At 44.0% G+C, this 19,581-nt stretch overlaps 1 protein-coding gene across 1 annotated transcript in view; it reads left to right on the forward strand.

Annotated features, from left to right (window-relative positions):
* Positions 1 to 19,581, forward strand: part of ITGA9 (integrin subunit alpha 9) — a 371,367-nt gene that overhangs the window by 263,351 nt on the left and 88,435 nt on the right. The window contains exon 19 of the mRNA NM_002207.3: positions 17,221 to 17,307. Coding sequence (NP_002198.2) covers positions 17,221 to 17,307 — 87 coding nt within the window. The remainder of the gene's footprint in view (positions 1 to 17,220; positions 17,308 to 19,581) is intronic.

Consider the following 19,581-nt stretch of genomic DNA (forward strand, 5'->3'; position numbering starts at 1 on the left):
CTCTGCCCTCATTCCCTGGAGGCTGGTTTGGACAGTGTGAGAGGCATCCTTCCCAAAGCAGACAAAGAGAAAACACATGGGAATGGTAATTAAATGAGTCCATGTTTAAGGGGCACTTAAGTGGATTAAAATCAATATGTAGTCACATAAGTCTGCTAAGCCATCCTTAATGTTTGGCGGGTGGATTTCTTTGTTTAAAAAATCCTGGTTTGCTTGAAACTGGCTGCCCCATTGAAGCATGAGATAGGACGAGAGATTCCCAGGACCTGGAAGACCACTTGCTCAGAGTCTGAAATGTTTACACTGCCTCTGACTGGCATCTCTATACCAGAAAGGAGAAGAGGGGGACTAGATGTTTTTGTGTGGTAGTCTCTTTCCTGCTATCTTAGGCTGAGTTCCCTAAAACAAAATCCTGAGATGAGACATCATGTAAAAATAATTTGTTAGGAAGTGTTCTCAGGGGAATGGGAAGTAGAGCTTCAAAGGGAAGGAGGCCAAACAAGGATGTGATATCAAGCAAAGTCCCCAGGAGACAGAAAGAAGGTGGGTGACTTTGGCACCGTCTAAAGTATAGGTCACATCTCACTGTCCCAATCAGGGACAAAAGAGCATGGCTGAGGATTCCCCCAAGGGGATGTGAATTCTCAAGCACTTCCATCTCTCCATGTTCATGCAAAGAAGGTGCCAGGAGCCCCGTGGCCATCCTCCCACAAAAGACACACAGGTGGTGGCATCTGGGGGGTCAATGTGCATGGTTGTGCATGGTAGAGACCCCTGGATGGAGCTCCATGATGTGGGATTTACATCCCGCCCATACTCTGCTGTGAGAGAGATGGTATGCAGCCAGTCCAGCCATCTGAAGCAGAACGAAAAAATGGTATGGAAAGCAAGGCACCTGAAAAAATTTTCAAAGGGAGAAAAAGAATGAGCAAAACTATCCTGTAGAGGAGAGAGACATTGAAAATGACATATACAGACACAGAAAAGGTTGCTCAGTCAACAACTTCTGCAGGCTCAAAGCATGGGAAGTAATCAGTAAATGGCCAATTTATCTCTCCCTCACAGCCAAGCCAACTCCTAACATAATTGGAAGTTTAATATATTCCAACAAGTTCAGAACAAGCATACTAGATCTTAAGGCAATCTCATGGCCCTGCAGCTCATCCTTTTTTTCAAAGAAATTAATTTTCAAAAAATGACTCTATTGAGATTGAATTTAGATCTTATCCATTGCCATAACCAAAAGCAACCCTTACTATTTGTGTGTGCAAGTCGTTTTAAACAGCTGGCCCATTAACTGAAAAATGTCAAAAACAAATATAGGAGAAAAGTAAGATAATCTTGGAAGGCAAAGCCTGTCTCCCTATATTGTTCTTAAAAATACAAAAGGGACACATAACTTCATCATTTAATTATATTAGGAGGTCCGTCATTCAGTGCTCTTGTAAAACTGTCTTGCCCTTGTTCTAATTGCGTATTGATCACCGAGGTTCTTGGCATCGGGCTTTTCTTTGATGTGTGCATGATCAGAACACACTAAGAGACAGCCTGTGTGCTCCTTCCTGTCCTCGTGGGCATTTCCTAAAGCTTCAGCCCTAAGCTGGTATATGTTTCTCTGTTACATCAACTGCCAAGGCAATTACTTTACATCTGATATTTAATGGAAAAGCTTCTGAGGACAGGGCTATACTCACATACCTCCACACCTGGCACAGTAGATGAGCTCACTATCTGTTGAATAAGTTCGTGACAGAACAGAAGTTCTACTGCAGCCACAAAGGCCTATTCACAGTCTTTAAGCCTGATGAAGTTCTGAATAAGTAAACCCTTAGCTACATCAGGCAGTTTATGAATGGTGTTTTTTGTTACTGTCATTTGTAATAGCTTTTGACCTATGTGTTTGTATTAGTCCGTTTTCACACTGCTATAACGAACTACCCGAGACTGGGCAATTTATGAAGAAAGAGGTTTAACTGATTGACAGTTCCACAGGCTTCACAGGAAGCACGACTAGGAGGCCTCAGGAAACTTACAATCACGGCAGAAGGTGAACGGAAGCAAGAACCTTCTTCACATGGTGGCAGGAGAGAAGGGGGCTGGTGGGGGAGTGCCACACACTTTTAAACCTTCAGATCTCATGAGAACTCACTCACTATCACAAGAACAATAAGGGGAAAATCCACCTCCATGATCCAGTCACCTTCCACCAGATCCCTCCTTAAATTCAACATGAGATTTGGGTAGGGACACAAATCCAGACCATATCAGTGTGCAAATGATGAGCTAATTTTCCCACTAAAGTAAGCACTGGTATGGTACATAGTATGACTATGGTAGTCCAGTATTGGATTCCATAATTTAAATAACTAGTAGACTTTTTAGTTAGTTGAAAGGTAAAACAATGGTAATAACAATGAGCTGTAAAATACGACCTGTGGGGTGGGAATGGGGACAGCCAATGCTTCTCTGGTAAAGGGAGGCCAGTTTCAGCCCCTGGTGCAACAGCACCCCCATGCATTCATCATGTGAGATGATAAGTGTCTTTCCTTGAACCAGTTCTTCTTCTTCCTCCTAGGCTGGGAACTTCTCCTTGGAGACAGCAGGAACTGTGTTACAAAGGCATATGGCCCAACAAAGGACACTGAGGCTACTCAGTAATTATTAAATGAGAGCATGAACAAAGGAATGTAAGATGTAACAGAAAACATACGTGTCTCACACATGAGAATTATTGTGTAGAAGCTGTTTCCCATTTGAGACAAAATAAGAAACACTTGTTGAACGAGTAGATGGGCTTCCTCTGGGAGCACAGCAGGTAGGCACCCATGTTGGAGCCAGCCATGGTCTGCAGAGTTCATTTCTCTGAGTCCCTGCCCCAGAGGCACATGACATAGGAGGCTCCAGACAACTGACTCAAAGACAGAGAGGACCATAATACCAGGGTTCCTCAGTCCTCACCAGCATAAGAATCCCAGAGAAGGCATTTTTTTTCTCACATACTCTAGGTCTCAATCTCTTAACTTCAAAAATGGCAGTGGCTACATTAGCTCTTGGGACCAGTGTTTCAAAGGCTAGTGTAGAACACTTGCCTCAGATGATTCAAGATCCAGGTTTCCTGACTCTGCTTCTGCTGTAAAGAATCCCACTCTGGAGGCTGGGGCCTGCAATCTGCATCTTTAACAAGCCCACCAGAGAATTTCAATGCAGTTTCACTTTTGAGGGTTTTTAACTTGATTGTCCATCAGAACCACCTGGGGAGCTTTCAGCAAATGCATGCCGACGCCACATGCATTAATTCTGCGGCCACACAGAGGGGCCTGCATCTGGGTCTTTTTTACAAAGCTTTTCATAGGATTGTCATCGTCACCTTTCCAGCACTGTTATGCAAATTGGAGAGACTCATGCCAAGGTGAAGGGCTTGGTGAGAGCAGCCAGGTCTTCTATGCAGTGATCAGCCTGCACAGCTGGGTGTGGCATCTCTGGCTCCCAGGTGGTTCCAGTGCACACCCCCAGTTAAGAACCAATGAAGAATGTTGCTTGTTAACAACCTTTGAAGGCTTTTTAGCAAAAACAAAGTGTCATATTGGGATTCATCTGTGGCAGTTTGCAGAACATATCAGGGGAGAGAGGTGTGTGCAAGGCATCCACCAGGAGGCCGTTTTGTGCTGGTCTAGGTAAGAGGAGATTGGAGCTGACCTGTTGAAGCAACAAAGAGAAAGGGAGGAAGGATCATCCTAGAAGTGGATACCAGTTCTTTAAGAAGAGTCCTGAGATGTACCCAGGAGTAGCAAAGTGGATGTGCCAACCCGAGGGAAGAGATTAGTAAGCTGCTGCCCCCTGAGACAGGGCTCCATGAGCTGACAGGTTGATCTGTGGAGATACACTCTGAAGGTGCTAGACTAGGAAGAGGTCCTCTCAGGCCCCATCCCTTCATCTTCAGCCAAAGGAAGTTCAGCAGTAGCTGCCCCTGGCCTCTGTTCTCAGTCCACAGCTCCACCAGCCCAGTTGCTTGTGCAGAGGGAGAGGATGTGGGAGAGATGCTGTCAACACCCTCCATGTCCCCTCCACCCACCCTGGAGGCCGCCTATGACAGTTCGCCATAGGCGAACTGTTTCTCTGGTTAGGAACTTTCTCTGGCTACAGGAGTGTGCTGCACCCGAGTCAGGAGGGCTGGAAGTGCAGGATAGTTAACGTCCCCAGTACAGTTTTCTACCAAGGAGAGACCGGTGAGATGGATAGATGCCCCAGCTTTCTCACCCGTTGATGACACACTTCACTACCCTCTCCTGGAGCTCCCTGAGATCACTGCCCATACAAACTAATTGCACCCCAATGCTTGTCCCAAAGTCTGCTCAGATAAGGGCCGTGTGAATAGACAGGTCTTCAGTTCCAGAAAAGTGTATACTCACACAGGAAATATCTCTCAAATAACATGGGCAGTGTATATGTTATTTTTCTGGAGGGCAGAGGGCATCATGAGGAAGGTGGTCTTCGTGGGGTGAATATCATGTTTCCTCCAGGGAGGGCTCAGTGACATGGAGCAGTGCTTCTCAAATGTCCATGTTCGCAGAGGTTAGCTTCTAACTCATCAGGTCTAGGGTGGGGCCTGAGAATCTGCATTTCTAACAGTGAGCATGTCCAGGGACCACACTTTGAGTAGCAAGACCTTGACAGCTTCAAGTTGCAAACCAGTTTTGAATGAGCAGAGTAGAAGGGGGTTTGCAGGTGAGAAGGAACTCTTCACCATGAGTACATTTCTATGAAGATTTCTGGCCAGGATTTTAGTAAGTACCTGAGCCCCTTCAAACATTTGACTCCCGCATAACCTTTTCATCCAAACACCATTCATGAGTTGTTTTTATGCCATGAGGTTAAATTCTTTCCTATCATTTCAGGGGAGGTCCCCACTTGTTGAGTTTTCCGTCAGCCTATAAGGCAAAGGAAAAGAGTGATAGAAAATAAAAATAACTTGATTCATTAGATGGAATTCAACTTGAATTCTTAGTTTGTTGACTAAGAATTTGCAGCCTCCGAGGAAATTTTTTTTAATTGAAGAAAAACTAATTTTTAAAAATCTGAAAATAATTCGTTTGTGACTATTTAACAGAAGGAAAAACTTCCTGAGTGAGCATCAAATACTTTAATTACTTCTTAGGCTTCAGAAGGGATGGCTTGCTAGTCTTTGTACTTTGGGCTTTCTGTTACGACTGGTTGACTTAGATTTATTTGTTTATTTAGCTTCTTAATTTCATATCCTGTGGTCCTGAAGAGGACAATCACCAGGATTTAGGGGAGTGTTTTTGTCTTTATTCACTTTGGAAAAATGTAAAGATTAGTCCTAAGCAGGGTTGATTCACCGCACTACAGAGGGACACGTTAGGAACGAGACAGCTTATTCAAGTGCTTTTGAATTTGTATTGGTTTTTTAAAATGTAAGATTATTTTTACTTATTTTAAATCTTTCAAAGCACTTTTTTCCTCAGGGCCAAGTGGACTCTTTGGGAGGAGACCTCGCCGTCTCCATTTGATCACATAATTGCTTCTGATGCCAGCCAGTCTGCAACTGCCAGTGATTGGCACAGGGTTATTTCATGTGCACTTCAATCAAATTTCTTTTCTTGCCTTTTTTTTTTTTTTTTTTTTTTTTTAAGAAAAAATCTCACTGTGGCACCCAGGCTGGAGTGCAGTGGTGCAATCATATCTCACTGCAACCTTCAATTCCTGGGCCTGTGATCTTCCCACCTCAACTCCCAAGTAGCTGGGACCACAGGTGTGTGCCACCACCTCTGGCTAATTTTTATTTTTGTTGAGACAGGGTCTTACTATGTTGTCTAGGCTGGCCTTGAACTCCTGGCCTCAAGTGAACCTCCTGCCTTGGCCTCCCAAAATGCCGGGATTACAGGTGTGAGCCATCCATACCTGGCCTCCAAATTTCACTACCTAACTTGGGAGAGGAATTTTGCATTAGCAGTTACATGGTTCATCTGCCTCAAACATTTGTTTTGACTCTAGCTTTTGCTTGTTTCACTTTTTTAAGCTTGGAAAGAACAAACTTAGAATAGTGTAGGCCTTGGCTTCCACATGGATGTTTTGACAAAATTTCAAGGAAGCAACTGGCTTTGTAGTGCTTTCTTTGTCCTGCTTCTCCAAATTCCCCAAGTGCATGGGTAATCACCTCTGGTTCCCTCGGAGTGTTCGTGGCCAGCTCCTTCCCAGCCTTGCCAGCCCATTGTCTGCATTTGGCATCTGCGCTGGAGTCACTGTGTGCTCCAGTTCCTTAAGGATACTTTTAGTTTATCTGATCTGTGCTCCACACCTCTTCAGACTCCATTTCCATGAATGTTTTGGGAGAGGTGAGGAAGAAACCTTTTCTGCTCATTGTTGCGCGTTCCCCACCCCAGGCCCCGTCTGATCTATTCTTACATCACAACTAAAAATATTCTTAAAAATGTGAATCAGATGGTATGACTCCCCTGCTCAGAACCCTCCAGTGCCTTCCCTCTGTACTTGGAACCAAGTCCAAACTCCTGATGAGCAGCAGGGCTCCGCATGGCCTGGCCTTTCATCTGTTGCTTCCCAAACGTGTGGCCTCTGGTTGGTTTCTGGAACTCACCATGCCTTTCCCCACACATGCTGGTTCTTCTGCCAGGGACACTCTTCACTCTCCCTTCATGTGCTTAGCCCCTTCTTAGCTTGCAGGTCTCAGCTAAATGGTACCTCCTCAAAAGGGCCTTCCCTCCACCTATACCAGGTATAATGCTGTTTGCCTCCTTCAGAATGCCTCTCACAGGCTGTGATTACTTTAAACAGATTCGTTGAGATATAGTTCAGATGCCATGCAATTAACCCTTTTAATGTATACAATTCAGTGGGTTTGAGTATATTTTCAGAGTTGTGCATCTATTGCCAGAGTCAATTTTAGAACATTTCATTACCTCAAAAAGAACCACCATACTTCTTAGCTGTCGTACCCCTTCCCCTATTTCCACCAGCCAAAGGCAACCAGAAATCTACTTTCTTTCTCTCTAGATTTGCCTATTCTGGACATTGTGTATAAGTGGAATCATTTATATGAAATGGAGCCAGTCCTTTGTGACTGGCTTCTGTCACTTAGCGTAATGTTTTCAGAGTTCATTTGTTTGTGGCATATGTCATACTTCATTCTTTTTCATGGCTGAATAATATTCCATTGTATGGATATACCACATTGTGTTTATTCATTCATCAGTTGCTGGACATTAGATTGTTTCCAGTTTTTGGCTATTACAAATTATGCTGCTATCAATATTTGTGTACACATTTTTGTGTGGGCTCATGTTTTTATTTCTCTTGGGTACATACCTAAGAGTGGGATTGCTGGGTTACATGGTAACTTATATTTCACTGTTAAGAAACTGCCAGGCTGCTTTTCAAAGCCACTATACTATTTTACATTCCCATCAGTAGTATGTAATGGTTCCAGTTTGTCCACATCTAGTCCAGCATTTGTTATTGTTTGTCTTTTTGATTGTAGCCATTCTAATGAGTAGGAAGTAGCATCTCTTTGTGGTTTTGATTTAGATTTCCCTGAAGGTTAATGATGTTGAGCATCTTTTCATGTGATTATTGGCCATCTGTATGTATTTTTTGGAAAAACTATTCAGATCCTTTACCCATTTGATAGTTAGGTTACTTATCTTTTTATTATTGAGCTGCAAGACTTTTTAAAAATGTATCCTAAAGTTCCTATTAGACATATGATTTAAAATATTCTCATCCTGTGGATTTTTTCACTTTCTTAATGGTGTCCTTTGAAACACATGAGTTTTAAATTTTGATGATATCCAGATTATCCAGTTTTTTTTGCTACTTTTGTAATTATTATTATTATTTTTATTATTATTATTTGAGGCAGAGTCTCGATGTGTCACCCAGGATGAAATGCAGTAGTGCGATCTCGGCTCACTGCAATCTCCGCCTGCTGGGTTCAATTGATCCTTCCACCTCAGCCTCCCAAGTAGCTGGGGCTACAGATGTGTGCTACTACAACTGGGCTAATTTTTGTGTTTTTAGTAGAGACAGGGTTTTGTTATGTTGGCCAGGCTGGTCACAAACTCCTGGCCCCAAGTGATCCACCTGCCTTGGCCTCCCAAGGTGCTGGGATTACAGGCATGAGACACTGTGCCCTGCCAGTTATTTTTCATTTCCTTTTGAATTTTTTGTTTTTGCCATCTCCCCGTGTAGGCTGCATGTGCTGCGACGGCAGCGCTGTGTTTGCCATTGTAGCCCCATCCCCTAGAACAGGGCGTGATATAGGGCAGCGGTCAGTGAATAGCTCTTCAGTGAGTTAGTAAACAAAGTGGTTCTCAAAATGTAAAATTCTTCCTTGACTCACTAAGCAACCTTCTGATTGCAACTGCTTTCCCTTTTTGGCCTCCAAGACAGGAATTCTCTGGCCCTGCTGACAGGAGCCCCATGTTGCACAGGGCAACTATGTCACTCATTGGAAATTAACATGTCTGCCCTCTGACTTCAGTATTTCTCCCAGGAGCAGAGGATGGAAGTTCTTCACAGCTGGATCTGCTGTATCATTCAGAAGCTGGCTTCAGAGCCTGTGTAGCTGGAAGCCTCGGGCTCACATCAAGGAAGGGAATGCCACTCAGCCTCTGGGCACACAGCTGCAACTTCCCCTGGTGCTGTCTCTCTTGGTGCTACCCTATACTAGCCTTGTCCTGAAACATCTACCCCATTCATTTCACCCTCTCTGCTACTATGTCACTGCCTCTCCCATCACAGTATTCCACCCAAATGAGGCAAATTCTTATCCTTTCAAGACCTACCCTAGAGTCACCTTTTTTGATATATTTGCTTTTTTATTTACTCCACCAGGCAAAGAGGGTGGCACCCTGCTATGAGCTCTTGGAACAATTTATTTATAAGTTCCTTATAGCCTGGATCGTATTCAACCAATAGTTTTTCCCCCTCTATTAAAATGCGTTAATTTGGAGTCTTTGCTTACTAAATGCTGTCTCCTTTTTTTTTGAGACAGAGTTTCGCTCTTGTTGCCCAGCCTAGAGTGCAATGGTGCAAACTCGGCTTACTGCAACCTCTGCCTCCTGGGTCCAAGCGATTCTCCTGCCTCAGCCTCCCAAGTAGCTGGGATTACAGGCATCTGCCCACCACGCCCAGCTAATTTTTTGTATTTTTATTAGAGACGGAGTTTCACCATGTTGGCCAGGCTGGTCTCAAACGCCTGACCTCAGGTGATCCACCCACCTCAGCCTCCCAAATTGCTGGGATTACAGTCGTGAGCCACTGAGCCCGGTCAAAATCCCTTCTTACCTGTCATTTGTATTCTCCCCATTCTGTGTCTGACATCTTGTAGGTGTTTGTTAGATGATTGGTGAGTGAATTAATGAATGTACAGATGGATGATGTATAAGTCCTTTCAGAGGGAAACTTTGAGTATGTTAAGACCCCAGGAAGGCTTATACTTGATCTTTGTATCCAGAATGTTGCCAACATTCTGGATACAAAGAAAAGCACCCTCTCTGTGACTTCTCAGATCCCATCTGCCTCTGATCTTTCATGACCCCTGCTGGATTGACTACATGAGCCTCTTTCAGAAGTTTGACTAGCAAATCAACAAAACAGTTCACCCTCTGCATCTCTGCTCAGGGATCAACAGGAGTGCTTGCTTATGTGGCTTCATTCCAGTGGGAGGTTCATATTTTCTTAGTTATGTATCATGTAGTCTTCCTTGATTCAAGAGTACCATGACTTGTGTTTGTTCTGACTCCAGGACTATCCATGAGTAACCCTCAGCCAAGAGTGTATCATCAGGGCCTGAGCAAGTGGCAGGAGACAAGGTATAGTGTGAATCTAGTACATGGAAGAGAATGTCTTGACAGCTGGGGTCTGTAATTCATATGCTGTTCAAATGACAGGCCTTTTCCCCACACCTGTGTGTATTCAAAGCACCATGTCATGTTCTGTAGGGAGATAGGCAGGGGAGTTGGGTCAGGAGAAGGAAGTTAAGATTGAAGGAGAACATGCAGAGGAGCTTTGGGAAGGAATGTGCCCGGCTCACATCCTGGCTCCATCATTTACCAACTGGGAAACCCTGGGCAAGTGATATAACTTCACATTCCAGTTTCCTCCTCATAAAAATGGAAATAAAGAGAAGGTGTACATAGAGTTTTTAGATAATGGATTTAAAACACTACCTGGCACACAGTAAACCATTACTAAGTAGAGGCTATGTACTCCATCCTACACGCATCAGCAGTGGCAGTCCAGCAATACTCCTATAAGGCACATGTTATGACTTCATTTTACTGGTAAGGAACTGGAGGCTTAGAGAAAGGATGGTTAATTTGCCTGACAACACATTGCTGGTATATATCTGAGCCAATAATCAAAATTGGGACACTAATGCCAAAGGTTTTACAATTTCTATGCTGCAGGCTCAGGTGTTTTTCTTCATGGGTAGGAACTTTATGGCTCAAGCCCGAAGGATTCCCCTCTGGGAATACGACTGTTCTGGTAAGGTTCAAGCTGACTCATCATTGAGTGCTGCTAATAAAGTGTTTGCTGAGAATGTTTTCTGTTAACTCATTGAGCCAGGTTATTAAGAACCTGTGCTCACCTCTGACACCTCAGTTGATTGGGGAATTTGGGATGAAGTGCTTCCAAAATTTATTTGAATTCTAAATTAACTAAGTGAGTTAACGTGGAAGCCGCTTTTACCAGCCCACAAGGGTCACGCTTGTTGTGTCTGGAAGAAGGAAAGGGTCTTAGAGGAACACAAATTGCCAGACTGACAGTCAGATATGGAGACACCAGGGTCATCTTCAGTTTAACAAACACATGTCAGAACTAGAAAGTTGGAAGTGAGACTTCAAACTCTACCTAGCATTGAGCATAAGCAGGTCACTGACCACAAAGATATTCTGTTCCCAAAGAGCACCATATTCGTGGTCAAGTAAGGCCAGAGTCTAGACTGACATCAAATGCTTGTATGATTGGGAGGAAGGAGCCCGAAGGCCAAAGAGGCTCACTAATTTCATTATTCGATTCTTCCAACCACTGCACGTTACAAACAGGGCTGTAGCCTGGGTCTACTGGCCAAGCTTCCGGGGCTGGGACAGGCAAGGTATGTCTGGATGAGAGAAGGTCTTTGCCAAGACAAGCATCTCTTGTGCCAGGCAGACCAGCAAATGAGCTGCTTCTTGCAGCCCCTTCTTTGGCATCTCCCATAAGCCAAGGCCTATTCATTTAATAAATGCAGACTCAGGAGCTACTAAGTGCCAGGCTCGGTGCCAGACACTGAGAATACGGAAATGAGTACGCATAAATCAAGTGTGCTTTTCATCACTGTGTTTTTAAAAATGTTAACTGATGATTTCCTGATCCTGAGAGTAATGTGCAGATGCTCCTTGAACTATGTTGGGGTTATGTCCTGATAAACCCATAGTTAGTTGAAAATATCATAAGTTGAAAATGCATTTAATACACTCAGCCTACGAAACATCATAGCTTAGCCTAGCCTACTTAAACATGCTTAGAACAGTTCCATTAACCTACAGTTGGGCAGAATCATCTGGCAACACAGCCCTCCATAGAGTATCGATTGTTTACCCTGGTGATGATGTGGCTGACGAGGTGCTACAGCTCGCTGCGCTGGCCAGCATCTTGAGAGTATTGTACAGCTTTCTACCACTTTCCACTGAATACCTATTGTTTTTACACCATCAGAAAGTTGAAAAATCTTAAGTAGAACCATCATAAGTCAGGGACTATCTGTATGGTAGTAGAAATTTTTAATTGAATCTTCTGTAATCTTCAGCAAGAAACCCTGAGAATATTGAACGTCTTTGCCAGACAAGGAAAAGTGGGACTGGGGAAAAGGCCAGTTATGTGAATCCTCTTAAAATAGGGTCTAAAATTTTATAATAAAAATGTATTTTAAAAGTTTTGATTGAGACTTTGCCTGAAATGTGAAACTGAAAATTACGAAATTAGGTTTATTTTATCCTGCATTTATTCAGTGGCACTCAAAACATTGTAATTATAATTGTCAAAGATATCTTAGACCAAAGGCAAAAGATTATTTGCTTTATTAGAGTCTTTAAAATAACAGTGCCCTAACTTCTGAAACAAAAGAAGGAATTGAGTGCTGGATAGGCAGCTTTTGAATGTGAATTTTCCTACTATTTCATAAGATAACATCCTTTGCTTCATATTTTGTCTGGTTTTCGGTACAATCACAAAAGGATCATTTTAACAATGGTCACTTTTTTCTAAGGGCTTCTCTTGATCTTTTTTATTTAAATCTTTGTCTTCTGAAGCATCTTAAAGTAGTATCCAGGAGAATTTTGACTCCTTCAACAGTTAACTGATCTAACTCTGCCAGATCCAGATTTATCAGTGGTTTTGCAGTGGTTTTATCCATTTTTCAACATCACTTTCATTGATTTCATGAAAGTCTGCATCTTTTAGAGCAAGATTTCTGCTTCACTCTGTATTTGATTTGCATTGTATTGTAGTCAGATAATCAGATGTCTGCACTAGCAGTCAGGGACATTAGATAGACAGTTTGCTCACTGGTCCGCGTTCCCAGTCAGCTAAGAGTCTCATAACCATCAGCCTTGATAAATGCTAATGTTAAGTTCTCTAAGTTAAAGCCAGTGTAGGCAATGATTGGAACTTGGAAGCAATCAGAGCACAGAAGAAGCCTGGTCCCTGGAATCTCTCCCATATGCATCCTGGTGGATACCAAGTGCCTGGCAGAAGTCATAGGCAACTCCCAACCAGAGCGCTCTCCACTGACATGTTGCTTAGAGCTGGGGACAGCTTAGATTAGCCATATCTCCCCAAAATTTGTATTTTTAATTGAATTGATTTTTTAAATTGAATCCATTTTAAACATGGGATTTTATTTTTATTTAAAGAATTACCTTGTGGGTATGTCTGTGACTCTTGGGTGCCTGCCTGGCTGCCAAGAAGACATGTGGCTCCATGATGACTCTGCTTTTTAAGGTTATGCCCTGGGCATGATCTGAAACCAGGAGAACAAAGTGGGTACTGGTGTTGCCTTGAATGAAGTGCTCCCCTAATGGGGGAAGCCTTGCAACCTTTATAAACTGCAGTCAGGACTGTTTTCTCTTCCTTAGTATGGATTTAAACAAGAATCATAAACACGTGAGCTTTCTCCTCATCCTCCTTTTGTTGCCTCTCCCCACCTGGGAGCAAATGCCTAGGACTTTCCAAGTGGTTCTCGGTGCCAGCAGCCTCATAAGGGAAGAGTATTATCTGAGTTCAGGTTCATCAGAAGCAGCACCCGAGATGGACTCTCATGAAGGGGATTTATTGGGGCAAGAGGAGCGAAGGGAGCAGAATGAGGAGGGGAAGAAACCAAACAGGCATGTGGGCTCAGCTGGAGTCTGCTTCACCCAGTCCTATGGGAGCTCTGGAACATTAATTGTACAACAGAGTTGGTCTTGTCTTGAGGCAAAGGGGACATCCTTGGGTACCCACATCAATCAGAGGCTACGGAATGCTTTTGGGGAAGGTGTCATAACCTCCCAGGCAAAGCGACTCCATTCAAGCTGTTGTACTTATCTAGTAAGGGGTTCTGAGTGGAGCACCACCAGCATCCACACAAGGAGTGGTACTGCTTGCCAAAGCCCATGCTCTGATACACCTCTGGGCCTCCTTGGAAATCACAGTAGTAGAAGAGAGGGGTATAGAATTAAAAACATTTGGTCAGGGCAGTTGACATGGCCAGTATAAACAGCTATGTTGGTGCTGACAGGCAGCAGAAGGGTAATCCATGACATCCCTTCCTGTAACACCATCCCGGAGCACATGAGTCATGAACCATAAGCTCAGCTCTCTTGTTCCTAGAGATGATGTCTTTGGTTTACTCTTTTGGCCTGTCCTCACCAAGATCCAACCAGAATTTTGAAATTTTTATTTGACTGAGTAAGGTGGAAGAGAGACCAGAAATAGTTAAATAAATGCTGATATAAATGTTACGTTCTAGCATTTGGGAATTAACAAAAATAAGGTAGCTGAGCAGCTTTTGAATGATCAAAAGTACTGTTGTCTTAGGTCAAAGCTAATTAAACTGAGGTTTCCTCGAGTTCCAGAGTACATTTTTGAAGACATTTATTTCACACATGCAAAAACTGAAGAAGTCTTTGGGGCAATAAATCTTTTTGATTTCTTTTTTTTTTTTTTTTTTTTTTGAGACAGAGTCTTGCTCTGTCACCAGGCTGGAGTGCAGTGGTGCGATCTCGGCTCACTGCAACCTCCACCTCCCAGGTTCAAGTGATTCTCCTGCCGCAGCCTTCTGAGTAGCTGGGACTACAGGCATGCACCACCACACCCAGCTAATTTTTATATTTGTAGTAGAAACAGGGTTTCACCATGTTGGCCAGGATGGTCTCAATTTCTTGACCTCGTGAACCGCCTGCCTCGGCCTCCCAGAGTGCTGGGATTACAGGCATGAGCCACAGCGCCCAGCCAATAAATCTTTACTTCAAGAACAGACCTTTGACTTAAAATTAAAGCTTCTCTCCTGGTTTGAAAGGAATTCCCAGTGAGGTATTGGGCATTACAAGAGAAACTGGAAACAGAGTTAGGTAAGCATGTAATATATGTATATGTGTATGTGTGAGATACACACACACACATACACTTATATATATTTGCTTATCCTGGGACACTCTTGAGACTAATTATACCAGAATGACAGAAATGAACCAGGACCGTCCCCAGGAAACCAAGAGAACTAAAGTCATCCAAGACTTTGGCTTGCTGCCTCTGATGTCCACAGGCCAATTAGCCAGGATTTAGGGTAGTGTCTACTTGGGACAGTTGTGGGTGTTGCTTCTGGCAGGAGGAATATGAGGAAGAAGATGGTAGGGAAAGGCCATCTATGGTGAATCATTAATGCCATGCAGTTCTTGAGACAGCATTTGAGAAATTATTCTCTGGTTTTCCTTATTGAAATTGCCAATGCCTGTTCTCTAGGTTCTAAGAGCAGCCCTCACACTTGCCATCACACAGCTATGTAAACACCTATGTCTCTGCTGGGAGGTCCCCACCTCTTCTGAACTCTGAGCTCTACGAGGACAGCGATTAACATCTCTCAGATATGTTCTCTCAGTGCTGAAATGTGGTGTGTGATACGACAACTCAGCTACCCAGTGCATGCTCAGGGCGCGTTCTGAATCCTGTGCCATTTGCATGTTACATACATGAGCTTGCCATCCATGAGTGTTTGGGGACAAGACAGAGGAAGAAAACCTTGGGGGAAGGGCTAAGGAAAGGTGCTCCTTGACAGTGAGGACAACTTAAACAGAGGTGTGAACATAAGAGCAGGCAGGGTGTGTGTAGAATAGTAGCATATACGTGCCACGGGGCAGGGGTGGAAGAACCACAACAGAACAGGATGGGCCAAAATGGAAGCTGGGATCTTAAGATTTGAGACTTTATTCTGTTTGCAGTGGGGACAGACATATTTTAAGAAGCTTCCTCTGGCAGCCAGCCAAATGGACTGAAGGGGAAGGAAAGCTCATAGCAGCAGCTACCAAACATCATTATCCGGCAGAATCACTAATTTTATCACTCAATAATTTTATGTATTAAAAATGCTCATCCCAGACCCTGCAGTCTCTGTGTCTACTCAGAAAAGACTCATGCTGTGCAATTAGAGTGTGGCCCAGGAATCTGCATTTTATTTATTTATTTATTTTTTAGACGGAGTCTCGCACTCTCGCCCAGGCTGGAGTGCAGTGGCACCATCTCTGCTCACTGCAAGCTCCGCCTCCCGGGTTCACGCCATTCTCCTGCCTCAACCTTAAAGAGGCTCCCAAGGTGATACTAACGCTGGCGATCCTGGGTCTCTGTGTGAATAACACTGGCTAAGAGCACAGAGAGATGTTAGAAAACTAATCATCATTGAGATCAGTTATATCCGAGACTGGATGCTGAAAAGATATATTAGAGTTTAGTTTTATATTTATATATCTCTTATCTTTTGTTTAATTGTATTTGGGCTTTTAGGGGTTTTGTTTCATTGCTATTTTCTAAGTAAGAGTGTATTGATGTTTAACAAACAAACAAAAATATACAAGTTATTAAGTTCCCAGCTCAATGAACTTTCACAAAATGATCAAACCTGTGTAACCTGCACTCAGAACTGCCTTCCACTTATTCCATAATTACTGTCTTGATTTCTAGCCCCATAGATTATTTACCTTTTATCACCTTTATTTTTGGTGCATTTGATAATGTTCATAATATATTAGAATAATAAGATATGTATAATTGGATAATTTAAGTAGATATATTATGGTAAATGCTCACATGTTTTTACCAGTTGGACACAAAATAAAAATGTTTTTCATCCACCTGTCTAGATGCCTTGAAATGTTAGTCTGAGCTGAGATGTGAGTCCTGGAAATTGGAGGACCTCTGTACCTTCTCTTCCAAAATCTGTAAACATACTGTTTCCGCTTGGCAGTCTTGATTTGCTTTCAGTGACTCTGAGAAGCCCTGTGGTTTGTGAAGAGCCTCTTGGCTTTCCTTTGACCTTGGTTGGAAGCCATGTGCCCAGGTGGAAAGACAGCAGTTCCCTACAGCCTTTCTCTTCTGTTTCTCTCAAGTCGCTGTGTGCAGAGTCCAGCCTAAGCTGGCTACACTTGGAAACCTCTCCTCACCCTTGTACCCTCCCCACACCCTGGGGAGACTTGCTGGTGGACAGCCCAGCCCTCACTGCTTCAGGCTTTAGGAAGAAACCCTCTCTTTTCTTGGTGTGATTTTCTTAGAGTTTGTCTTTCCTGAACCACCAAGATCTGAAAAGGCAGGATTAGGGTGTGGGCTTAGGAGAAAGGGGCCAAGAAGATGACAGGGTTGCCTTTTCATCCAAACCTTAGGAGGTCTCCAGCTCAGCCATGGCCCAGCCCACCTCACCAGGACTGCCCTAGGGTTTGAACCCAAAGCATTAGTTAGGAATGAAGAGTGGTTTTGTCCTCTTACCTGTCTTCCCAGGGAACCCATGAAAAAGTGGGCAGCTGGAAGGGGGCTGGAGACGGCCTGGTCAGGGCATCTCGTCCCACTGGTGCCTACCGTCTGAGCACTGCTCTGAAGGACTCGATTGCCCCGTGGAGCCTGCTCCCACACACCTGCCTTTTGTGCAGCCGGCCCATCTGTTGGTGCTTTTTCTTTCAGGAGGAGATGGGCATCTCCTGTGAGCTGCTGGAATCGGACTTCCTCAAATGCAGCGTGGGATTTCCTTTCATGAGGTCAAAGTCAAAGGTAAGGGACACAGACGGGACCCTTCCTCAGCAGCAGGCCCCCAGCCCTTCCACCAGCCACTGATTCCGCCGCCTCCCTGAGGTGAGGAGTCCTCCCACCCCCTGCCTCCCATAGCAGCTGGGGCGGCCACTGAAGCCCTGACATGCTCCTGTCCCTGGCTGTGTACACCGGGGTATACTCCGGAGGGGCTGCATCATATGGTCTTTCTCTTCGATTCACATGATGTACCCCAAATGTGAAAGTGAAGGACACACCACAGCCTCTGCACTTTAGCACGTGCCATTTAGTTGACCTTCCTAAAATAATTTTTTTTCTGAGACATTCTGTGCCTCTTTGAGTCCCCTAGACAACACAGAAGAAGATGTGGTCTGTCACCTATAGTCCTGTCATTCCCTTGGGTGCTCACAGTTTTCTGAAGAGAACTCTCAAAATTCTCAAAACATAAATACCTGTATCCCACTTCATTTTTAAGAAGAGTAAAGAAATTAAGTCACTTTGGTATTGGTATGGAGACAGATTTTCTAAGTTCAAATAGTATACTACAGCATCTTCAGACATTCATGGAACATTGTAGTATGTGCCATCATTATAAGGAGATACAAACATAGGTAAAAAGATGTGGTGATTGGAGGCAAAACTAGAATCTAAAAGACCAAGTCTGCCTTTGGAAATGGAAGCTATTTTCCCTGCCATGAACAGAGTGAGACTCCGTCTCACAAAAAAAAAAAAAAAAAAAAAAAAAAAAAGTGAAAGCTTCATCCTTTTCTCCTGCCTGGGTCATACACTCAGATCATTTTAATCTCCAAGGCTCTTTGGTCCCAGTATCTAGTAGCTATTTGTAAACCAATGGTGAGAATATTCTGGTGAGGGAGAAGACTTGGTCATTTCTTAGCAAATCACTTGAACCCATAAGCCCCATTGAATGCACCTCGATCTTGGACTTTCCAGCCTTCAGAACTGTGAGAAATAAATGTTTAAACCACCCAAGCTAGGGTAATTTGTGATAGAATCCCAAACTGACTAGGGCAAAAAGGTAATAACTTTCTCACTGTTAGGGTCAATGTTGTTCAGTGCTGTGTTCACATATCACCCAAGATAATCTCATGAACCACCTAAAATAATCTTAGTGTACCACTCCCAGTGTGAACATCCTGTGATTTGGGTAACACTGCCCCAAACAAATGGTGTTCACCATATACATATCAGGCACGTGTGGGAATGTGGGAGGAACCCCTGGGTAGGGGTTATAGGACCAGGCTCTACCACAAACTGTGTGATCTTGGCGAAACCACAGTGGCCAAGTGGCCAAGTGGCCCATGACTCCTCGGATTTTTTTCTGCCTCTCTTCCTCATTCTGTCCACATTCACCCCAGGAGGAGGGAAACCTCAATAAGTGTCTGCCCTTGGAAAATGGATTACATGTGGATGGCAGAGTACAGGCCAAGTCCCATTAGACTCCAGGTAGGGTGAGGGTGGAGATAAAGGAGGACGACCACAATCCATGGACACTATTGCCTATAGTAATGTATGTGGCACATCTGCACACAAATTTAATTAAAATCTTTTGAGTAACAGATAATAGGCTTAACTGGAAAACTTGCAACAGTTTCCATTTCATTTTAAACTCCAGCCTATATCACATATCAGACCTAAGATGTGTCTTTCTCTCTCTAGTGGAGTGTTACATTTTGTCAAATTTTTGTTTGTTTGAGAGGGAGTCTCTCTCTGTCGCCCAGGCTGGAGTGCAGTGGCGCAATCTTGGCTCACTGCAACCTCCGCCTCCCAGGTTCAAGGGATTCTCCTGCCTCAGCCTCCCTGGTAGCTGGGATTACAGGTGCCCACCACCATGCCCAGCTAATTTTTTGTGTGTTTTTAGTAGAGACAGGTTTCACTGTGTTGGCCAGGCTGGTCTTGAACTCCTGACCTCAAGTGATCTGCCCACCTAGGTCTCCCAAAGTGCTGGGATTACAGGCGTGAGCCACCGTGCCCAGCCAACATTTATTAGATAGAGCCCACAGAAGTATGAACATTGGAATGTTGGTTGTTTTCCCAGCTGGTAATGCTACCACTTTCCTCCCACATACAGATGCTGGGACCTGAAGCAAGACTGACTAAACCTGGGGATTGGGGGGCATGGGAGCAGAGGGTGATTCCCTGGAGAAAGCCCAACAAGTCACCCAGCAGAGACGGGGCTCCCCGTATCCGCAGCCCAGCGTGCACTCCCATGTCCTTCCAACCCTGAGGGTCCTCAGGCTCCAGGCCACATGCTAAGCC

Source organism: Homo sapiens, chromosome 3, assembly GCF_000001405.40.
Source record: "Homo sapiens chromosome 3, GRCh38.p14 Primary Assembly".
Classification (NCBI taxonomy): domain Eukaryota; kingdom Metazoa; phylum Chordata; class Mammalia; order Primates; family Hominidae; genus Homo; species Homo sapiens.